General features: G+C 38.9%; 1 annotated feature.

The window, feature by feature from the left end:
• Positions 391 to 1,086: an enhancer, noted in NCBI's record as "OCT4-NANOG hESC enhancer chrX:144401244-144401939 (GRCh37/hg19 assembly coordinates)". NCBI's record gives its function as "activates a minimal SCP1, AML or CMV promoter by ChIP-STARR-seq in naive H9 embryonic stem cells {active_cell/tissue: H9 hESC(naive)}" and the evidence as "EXISTENCE:reporter gene assay evidence [ECO:0000049][PMID:30033119]".

Genomic DNA, 10,363 nt, shown 5'->3' with positions numbered 1-10,363 from the left:
CCAGAATATATAAAGGATTCTTACAACTCATTACAAGAATATAAATAACCTAATCAAATAATAAAAAAATTTAAACAGACCCTGTACCAAAGAAGATATTCAGATGACAAAATGCACATGAAGAAATGCTCAAAATCATTATTTCTTAGTGAAAAGAAAGTTAAACTATAATGAGACAACAGTACACACCCTTAAAAATGGCTGAAATTAAAATATAGATAAAACTAAGAGATGGCAAGTATGCAGACCAACTAGATTTCTCAAATACTTCTATAGAAACTGCCAAATGATACGGCTACTTTGAAAAACAGTTTTTTAATTTTAAAAAATGTCAAAAATACATATATTTAAACAAAAAAAGTCCCAGCCCTATCTCACTCCTGGATATTAATTCAAGAGAATAGAAATTGATGTCCATACAAAGACCAGTTTGTGAATGTTGATAGCAGCTGTATTTGCAATAGCAGTTTCATTCATAATAACAAAAAAAGCAGAAGTAACCTACATGTTCATTAACTGATTAATGGATAAACAAAATGTGGTATATCCATACAATGGAATACTGATGCAAAGACATAGATGCCTTGTCTCCTTGGGCACAAGGCAACACTGCTATGCTGTCATTCATTCCTTAGAAGTCCCGTAGGGATACAGCCGAAGCTATTCTTTAGCTTAATTCACATCTTTGCTAGGTTTTCTTCTTTAACTAAACCAACTTTCCTCATTTACTTACAAGTACCTCCTGAGTGCTTCATCATTAAATCACTTGCACAAGAATAGCCTTCTCTTGTTCCCTTTTTAAGGACCCATGCTAAGGCAATTGATATCCTGAATGTTCCTAGGAAGCCAACTGTGAGTATGGAGGTATGGAGTTTGGTCACTCGTAGCTGACTGGCAAATCTCTGGTAGTAGGCTGAGCCTTGATATTCCCTGAGTTGCTGTGACAGTGCAGTTAAGTTATTCACTCTCCTTTGATGAGCTGAGATGAGATACAGGTAATAGGGAATGTATTGGCTTGTGCAATACCTGTGGTATTTAAAAGGGAGAAACATTAATGATAAGAATTGTGAAATCGGGTGGTCATTGTTGATTGCCAGTGATACTCGGAAGAGAAAAAAATAGCAGGTTAGGGCTGGGCGCAGTGGCTCATGCCTGTAATCCCAGCACTTTGGGAGGCCGAGGCTGGCGGATCACCTGAGGTCAGGAGTCCAGACCAGCCTGGCCAACATGGTGAAACCCCGTCTCTACAAAAAATACAAAAAAAAAAAAAAATGCCAGGCATGTTGGCGGGCGCCTGTAATCCCCGATACTTGGGAGGCTGAGGCAGAAGAATCACTGGAACCCGGGAGGCAGAGGTTGCAGTGAGCCGAGATCATGCCATTGCACTCCAGCCTGGGCGACAAGAGCAAGGCTCCATCTCAAAAGAAAAAAAAAAAAAATGCAGGTTAAAGTCCCACATTATCATGAGGAATGATATTTTTAATATATTGTGGAATTTGGTTTGCTAGTATTTTGTTGAAGAATTTTATCAACATTCATCAGAGATATTGGCCTATACTTTCCTTTTTTTGATGTGACTGTCTGGTTTTGGTATCAGGGTAATGTTTGCCTCATATAATGAGTTTGGAAGTATTCCCTTTTTCTTTATTTTTCCAAATAGTTTGAGTATAATTAGTATTAATTCTTCTTTCAGTGTTTAGTAGAATTCAGCAGTGAAGCCATAGTGGCCTGGGCTTTACTGGGAGTCTTTTTTTTATTATGCTTCAATCTCATTATTTGTTATTGGCCTGTTCAGGTTTTATATTTCTTCCTGGTTCAATCTTGATAGGTTGCTTGAGTTTAGAATTTTTTAAAATTTCCTCTAGATTTTTCAAATTATTGTCATGTAGTTGCCCATAGTAGCCACTAATGATCCTTTGAGTTTCTGCAGTATCAATTGAATTGTCTTTTTTTAATCTCTGATTTTATTTGGATGTTCTCTTTTTTTTTGGTCAGTCTTGCTAAAATTTTGTCAGTTTAGTTTTCCAAAATCCTATTTGTTGTTTCATTGATCTTTTCTATTATTTTCTTCATTTTATCTCATTTATTTTTACTCTGATATTTATTATTTTTTTCTTCTATTAATTTTGGGATTGGTTGCATTGCTAGTTCTTTAAGATGCATGGTTATGATGTTTATTAAAGGCTTTTCTTCTTTTTTTGTTGTAGACACTTACAGCTATAAAAGTCTCTTACTGCTTTTGCTGTATTCCATAAGTTTTGGTATGCTGTGTTTCCTTGAATATTTGTTTCAAGAAATTTTCCAATTTTCTTCTTTTAAAAAATTTTTTTTATTATACTTTAAGATCTGGGATACAGGCGCAGAATGTACAGGTTTGTTACATAGGTAGACATGTGCCATGGTAGTTTGCTGCACCCATCAACCTGTCACCTACAGTAGGTATTTCTCCTAATGCTGTCACTCCCCTAGCCCCACAGGAAAATCCTATTTTGCAGTTTGCCTAATAGTACCGGTACAGGTGTTCAAGCAAGTTCAGTCATGGAAACTGTAGCAGAGACTCATAAGTTAAAATTTTAACCATGTATCAGAAGGAAAGAGAAAATTCACAGCCTGTTGAGATTATAGAGGTTATTGCAAAGGGCTATGCAGAAAAGTGCTATTGAGTGTAAAGGGGCAAACACTCCCTGCTAACATTTACAGGATCCTTTGAAAATTAGATGTGATTCTATGTTTGAAAGCATTTGTAACATGGAAGGCCCTTTAAGAAGTTGGTGAATTTCAGAGCAAATCTGACTTTCTCAGAAACTCCTCCAAGAAATGGTGGTTGTTATAATAAGTTACAATAGTTGCCTTTTATTAAAGATCCACTATGTGACAGCTTATGAGAGAGACTACAAGTGCTCATCCACATCTTGTATTCATCCTTTAACATGGCTATTATTTCTGTTGCGAGGAGTATTTAAATATTTTAATTATGAAGATGGTAGCTTATGCATTCTTATTGCAAAACTATTGGCAAACACAGATAAATCACAATTCTCAACTTTACAAAGTTGCTTCAACATTCAGCCCGTTCTTCATAGGTATCTATAATTAACAATCTGGTGTGTATTGTTTTAAAGCTTATTCTAGACTTTTTCAGAAACAGATGTACTATAAAAATGCATTTTTTTAACATAAATGGGTAATTATGAACATATTGATCTGTCACTTGCCTTAGCACTTAATAAAATGGGTGCAGGACCTTTCCATGACAGCACATATGGTATATCCACTCTAAAGTACGTATATGCCATAATTAACTAAATCATTCTCCTCCTGATAGACAAGTTGTTTCCCATTTGCTTCTATGATTAATATAACTAAAAACAACATCTTTAAACATGAATTATTGGACATCTATTTGTGTTTTCTCATAAGAAAAGCATATTAATGAGAAAATTGATTACTGTAGACAGAGTGTGAATATTTTAAATTTTTACAAATATTGCTGAAATTATGTTTCAAAAATGCTATACGTACTCATTTTCTCAGAAATTAATGTATATAAATACCCTGCACTTTCACAAACATTTTATCAATCTTCACATTTTTATCAAAATTAGGGGTGTAAAGATGTTGTCTCACTATTGTTTTAATTTGTATTTCTCCATTTTTCCATTAAAAAGAACATTAAGTTAATTCTTCACCTATATAAAGCTGAATTCATGCAATGATGTCTTTAGTAACATGATTTCTTGGGGGAATGATTTAAAAATATGGGCTGGGCATAAGAGGATCACTTGAGACCAGGAGTTCAAGACGATCCTGGGCAACGTGGTAAGACCCTATCTCTGCAAAAATCTTTAAAAATTAGCCCAGTGAGGTGATATGGGCCTGTGGTGCCAGCTACTCAGGAGGCTGAGGTGGGAGGGCCGCTTGAGCCAGAGTCCAGGAATGAGATCACATACAAAACGTAAAGTTCAGAGAGCTGAAGGCCAGGTGGCACTCAAGGCTCTGAATCCAGAGTTCACTGTAGTGAGGAGAAAGATCCAAAAGGAAAAATGATGAGGGATATGGGTGGTGATGGGACTGGTACAGGACAACTTCTGTGAATAAGCTTGAGAAATTTCTACATCATTATTACCAGCTAAAAGTTACAGAGTGTTTGGAGTAGGCAGCTCTACTGGACTTAATCAGCACCCTGCCTGACATTTCACCCTACCTTAAAACGCCCCCTGCTTTCTATCAGTAAGAGCATAGCTGGCTCTGCTGCATTATTTTGGGTGCACAACACTCTTGACCACTCTAGTGATCTATTGTAAACTTGCCAAGTCCCAGGGCTGAAAGCTGTCCTGATGCCTGCTGGAGGTTTGTATTTTTTACCTCTGTGTACAGTGGACCCCCTCTATAGAGGCTGGGGCTATGCAAGTGAGTGGAGTTGGTGACTGATGACTGGCAGTTGAGATGGACCAGGAATCCCAGTGAGCAGAGCAAGAGAGTGTGTAGCTGCAAAGAAGGGGAAATGAGTGAGAACTTTCCTGGACCGCACTGACTCTGCAGATAAAAGACTGGGTGTGAACATGTCTTAGAAAATAATCCAGATAGTGTTCCTATCCCTTCCCTTCCCTTCCCTTCCCTTCCTTTTTATCCTCTCTCCCTCCCATTCCCCCTCCCTCCCTATTTCTTTATTTGGAGCATTTCATTGAAATATAATTCATATATCATGAAATTTAACCATTAAAAGTATAAAATTCAACAGTATTTAATATATTCAAAGATACATGCAACCACACCCCAGTGAATTTTAGAATATTTTTATCACCTCAAAGGGAAACCACATACATGTTAGCTATTGCCTCCCTATTCTCCCACCCAAACCCCAACCATAAATAACCACACATGTATTTTCTGACTATGGATTTGCATATATTGTACATTTCATATGAATAAACTTACAAAATATTGAGGTTTTTGACTGCCCTACCCTTAATAGGTCACAATTTTACCCCATGTTTCTTATAAAGAAAGTGACCTAATACATGTTGGATATGTTGTCTCAAACACCATTACTACAGTTCTTGAGAATGCTGTCAGTTACTTTTCTTAGGGTATTATTTGGTCCTTCTGAGAACTGCTAGTTGCTTACAGCATATACTGGGGCTCATCAAATACCATTATTAAGTAGGTGGCCTGTGGGTGGGATTTCTTTGTCTACCTCTTTTTGGGGGAGTGTCCTTAATTCTGTTTATGTGATGTATCATATTTATTGATTTCTGCATGTTCAACTATCCTTGCATCCATGGTATCAAATCGATTTTATTGTTATGTATTGTCTTTTTGACATGGTGTTGGCTTTGTTTTGCTAATATTTTGTTGAGGACTGGGGAGTGTTATTGTTACCCTGCACACATCAAACCATTTTATCATCTAGGTCTACCATTCTAAATCCTGATATCACCCCCTACCCAAACACAATGTGAAACACCTAGTCCCTATACTTGCCAGTGTGATAAAGATTTCAAGAGAAGATTTGTCTTCAGTGCTCAGTCCTGATCCAGTTCTTATCCGTCAATATCTGGCTAACTGTGGACTTGCCAGCCTGGTTGCCAACACTACAGAACCCTACTTTTCTCCCTTCTCATGTGCCTCTTTCCTTCCTTCCCTCCCCAACACCAGGGAACACATAAAGATACACACATATGCTCTAGAAAGAGGAGCTTTTTACAACTTGTTGATTTTAGTGTAATCGCCGTCCTTCTATACTGTTGTAAGGGTTAGACCCAATGTGGTTGACTATTTCTCAGCAGCAAAGCCCTTTGAAGGTACAGCAGATATTTCTGAGCCTGCTGGCCCTTGCTCAGTAATTACTGGCTGTACAGATCATTACTTGAAGTACTGGAATTGTTCAGGGTCTCTTTGTCCATATTTGGCTGATTTTGATTCAAGTTCTTATTCACTTCATGGTAATGGCTGAATAATGTTCGCCCTCTTTCTCTGGTGGGCTTTCTTGAAGGAGTGGTATTTGTTTGAGAACATTTTTTTTCTTGAACTCCCTTGAAGAAATATTTTTACGCTTATGGCTGTATTCTGTAAATGGGAAGACAACATGGTGATCCTAGAAGGACATTGATTTGGAGGAAGAGGGTGGGGATTAGATGGGAACAGAGGCTTCATGTGAAACAGTGCAGGCTAAGGAGGGGGTTTGTGAGCTTGTGAAAGGCAAGGGCATGGTAGGAGTCATGAGGGGAGTCCATGAGGAAGAAGAGAATGAGCCTAGATTGGATTGTGTCCACTGACACCTTCTCTAGGCCTTTTTCTTCTTCTTCACTTTTATGTTTAAGATTAGTCGTTCTATAACCCTGCTAGGCACATGTCTTTTTCTGGTCACCTTAGCCATGTCACTGCCTCCCAGTGGGCTCACCTAGGATTCGTGGCCTCCCTATATATATCACTCTTCAGGAAAATGAAGAGCTACGGGTCCAGTTTACTTTGGTCAGCCAGGCACACCTCCTAGCCAGTGATGGTCCTGGGGTGGCTCACACATTATAAAGCACCATTTCTGATGTTTTTTCCGGGGTGTGGGGCGGGGGTGGGATGGAGATGCTGAGAAGACCAAGATGGAGAAAAGAAGGCATTTCTTTACTGCACCCTCAAAAGCCTTCCCAAAGTTACTTCCCACACCTCATCTCCCTATGCTTAATTTTGGTGGCACACATGGCGTGGAGAGGGTGTTTCCTCCAAGGAATTTACCATGGCCATTCCGTTTTCTCCCTCCTCCCCTCACTTTAATGGCAGCTCATATTTTGAATGGCTTACTCTAAATTCCTTCAAGGTAATATGGCCACATTCACATGTGATAAATGTGTAAATCATCCCACTTCTTTCCTGTTAGAATGGTTGCAATTTAAAAAGAAAATAAGAAATATTGGCAGGCAAGGAAGTAGAGTATCTGGAACTCCAATTCTCTCCTGGTAAAAATATAAATGGCAAAATTGTTTTTTATAATATTTTGATATATTCTTAAAAAGTTACATATATCTACCTCTGATTCAGCTATTCCATTCTTAGGTATTTATTCAAAAAAATAAAAGAATATGTATATAGGAAGACTTGTACATTAGTGTTCATAGAAGCTTTACTTAAAAGAGCCAAAGCTAGAAATAAATTTTCGTCAACATATTTATGGATAAACGGTTGTATATTCATACAATAAAAATAAAGTTTAGCAATGAAAAGAATGAGATATTTACGGACACAATGGAGTAGATTAAATGCAAAATAATTTTGCTGAGTGAAAGAAGCCAGAGAGAAGAATAGTACAGACTGTCTGGATTTGTTTACTAAGAACTTTAGGAAATGCAACTGTCGTGATAGAAAGCAGAACAATGGTTGCTTGGGAAAGGAAGGGGCAGAAAGGAAAGGAAAAGATTTAAAAGAGGCATGAGGAATTACTGGGAAATAATAGATATGTTCATTATTTTTATAGTGGTTATGGTTTCACATGTATATACATATTTTTAATTTACAAGTCATACTGTTAAAATTATGTTCAGTTTATTGTCCCTCAATGTTACTTAAGAAAGTTAGTTTTAAGAAAATATGAAAGGTCTATCTTCTATATTACACCAGTTATTTTATACTCCTGCAAATGTAGCCTAAATTTTTCATGCTTTTTTGGAAGCTACATCATATGTCTGTATAATGTTGAGCTTTATTCAACTAAAATTTCCCGTACTTGTTGGTGCCTTAACCACACACTGGAGAGCCTTTAATAATTCATTTGTATTTATTTTCCTTTGAGAATTAAAACGTGCAAAACCCTCCTCTGTTCCTTTACCTAATATGCTCCCCTCACATGGATGACTTTTTTTTGAATCCTGACATATTTTTTTCAATGTATTAACTCCTCCAAATTACGTTATCTGACCTCAGACTGAATTCTACTTTTGGATGAATTCGGTGGTACATGGTGGAATCTGTTCAACCATAGAAAGGGTCATTTTAAAAGATCCATTATTTATTCACCAGTCACTGCCTCTAGTCTCCCAATCATAACTGTGAAGCTCGCTGCTAAGACCACAATGTTTCTATGAGCTATTTATTTATTTGTTACTGGCAGGTTTTAACACTGAGAGCTTCATATAGTCCTATGCTTATCATAGCTTCTATAGATATATCTAGAAAATGAGAAACTGGTTACCTAAATACAATGAATAATGGAAAAGTTACATATGAAATATCCATGTCTTTCTACTTTCCTCTCCAAAGGCCGTGCTGTCTTTGGAGTCAGACCCAGGTGGAATTTTATCCTTACTTAACAAAATTATTGACCTTGGTATGGGAAAATTATGTATCCTTTCTAAGGGAGTGATATGCTTTGCATCTGTTTTCCACCGAAATCTCACATTCAATTGTAATTCCCAGTGTTGGAGGTGGGGCTTGGTGAAAGGTGATTGGATCACCGGACAGTTTCTCATGAATGATTTGACACCATCCCCCTCAGAAAGTTCTCGTGATAGTGAGTGAGTGCTCATGAGATCTGTTTCTTTTCAAGTGTGAAGTACCTCCCAGCTTGCTCTCTCTTGCTCCTGCTGCAGCCATGTAAGATGTGCCTGCTTCCCCCTTCACCTATTGCCATGATTGTGGGTTTACTGAGGCCTCTACAGAAGCTGAGAAGACACTTCTCAGCTATATATATATGTGTGTGTGTGTGTATATCTATAGTTTAGCAATGCAAGAATGAACTTATACAGAAAATTGGCACCAGAGAAGTGGGGAATTGTTATAAAGATACCTGAAAATGTGAAAGCAGCTTTGGATCTGGGTAATGGGCAGAGGTTGGAACAGTTTGGAGGACTCAGAAGAAGACAGGAAAATGAGGGGAAGTTTGGAACTTCCTAGAGATTTGTTAAATACTTGTGACCAAAATGCTGATATTGAAAAGGACAATGAGGTCCAGGCTGAGGAGATCTAAGATGGAAATGAGGGATTGGGAACTGGAGCAAAGATGACTTTTGTTATGCATTAGCAAAGAACCTGGCAGCATTGTGTCTCTGCTCTAGGGATCTGTGGAACTTTCAACTTGAGAGTGATAATTTATTTTGTGTAGTAGAAGAAATATCTAAGCAGCAAAGTGTTCAAGATGTGGCCTGGCTGCTTCTACCAGCCCAAGCTCATATGGGCGAGCAAATAAATAATGTGTAACAGGAACTTACATTTAAAGGGAAGCAAAGCATAAAAGTTTGGAAAATTTGCAGCTTGGCCATAGTAGAAAAGAGAAAACCACTTTCTGGGAAGGAATTCAAGCAGGCTGCAGAAATTTGCATAACTAAAAAGAAGGCAAATTCTGATCGCCAAGACAATGAGGAAAGGACCTGGAAGGCATTTCAGAGACCTTTGAGACAGCCCCTCCCATCACGGGCCTGGAGGCCAGGAGAACAGAAGGACAGAGTGGTTTTGTGAGCCAGATCCTGGGCCCCACTTCCCTGTGCAGCCTTTGGACACAGCTCCCTGCACCTCAGCTGCTCAATCTCCAGCCATGGCTCAGAGGGGACCAAGTACAGCTGGGGTCACTGCTTCAGAGGGCACAAGGCATAAGATTTGGTGGCTTTCACATGGTGTTAAACCTGCAGGTGCATGGAGCGTAAGAGGTGAGGCTTGGGAGCCTCCGCCTGGATTGTAAACAATGTATGGAAAAGCCTGGATGCCCATGCAGAAGCCTGCTGCAGGAGCAGAGCCCTCATGGAGAATATGTAAGTCAGTGCATAGGGGCAACATAGGGCTGGAGCGCCCACACAGATTGCCTACTGGGGCACTGCCTAGTGGAGCTCTGAGAAGAGGGCTGCCATCCTCCAGATCACAGAATGATAAAGCCACCAACAGATGGCATCATGCACCTGGAAAAGCCACAGGCACTCAATGCCAGCCCATGAGAGCAGCCACTGTACCTGAATCTTGGAAAGCCACAGGGGCAGAGCTATCCAAGGCCTTGGGAGCCCACCCCTTGCACCAGTGTGCCATGGAAGTAAGACATGGGGTCAAAAGAAATTTATTTTTAACCTTTAAGATTTAATTACTGCCCTGATGGGTTTTAGAATTGCACAAAACATGTAGCCTCCTTCTTTTGGCTGATTTCTCCGTGTTGGAATGGGAGTATTTGATCTGGTGATTTTATATGAGGCTTTGTCTCTTTTGCTCAGCACTTCTCTTTCCTGCCACGATGTGAAGAAGGACATGTTTGCTTCCTCTTCTGCCATAATTCTAAGTTTCCTGAGGCCTTCCCATCCATGTTGAACCATGAGTCAATTAAACATCTTTCCTTTATAAATGACCCAGTCTTGGGCATGTCTTTATTAGCAGCATGAGAATAGACTAATACAGT

This window comes from Homo sapiens, chromosome X (assembly GCF_000001405.40).
Source record: "Homo sapiens chromosome X, GRCh38.p14 Primary Assembly".
Classification (NCBI taxonomy): Eukaryota; Metazoa; Chordata; class Mammalia; order Primates; family Hominidae; genus Homo; species Homo sapiens.
The sequence above is the reverse complement of the archived record's forward strand: the minus strand, read 5'-3'. Positions and strand labels throughout refer to the sequence as shown.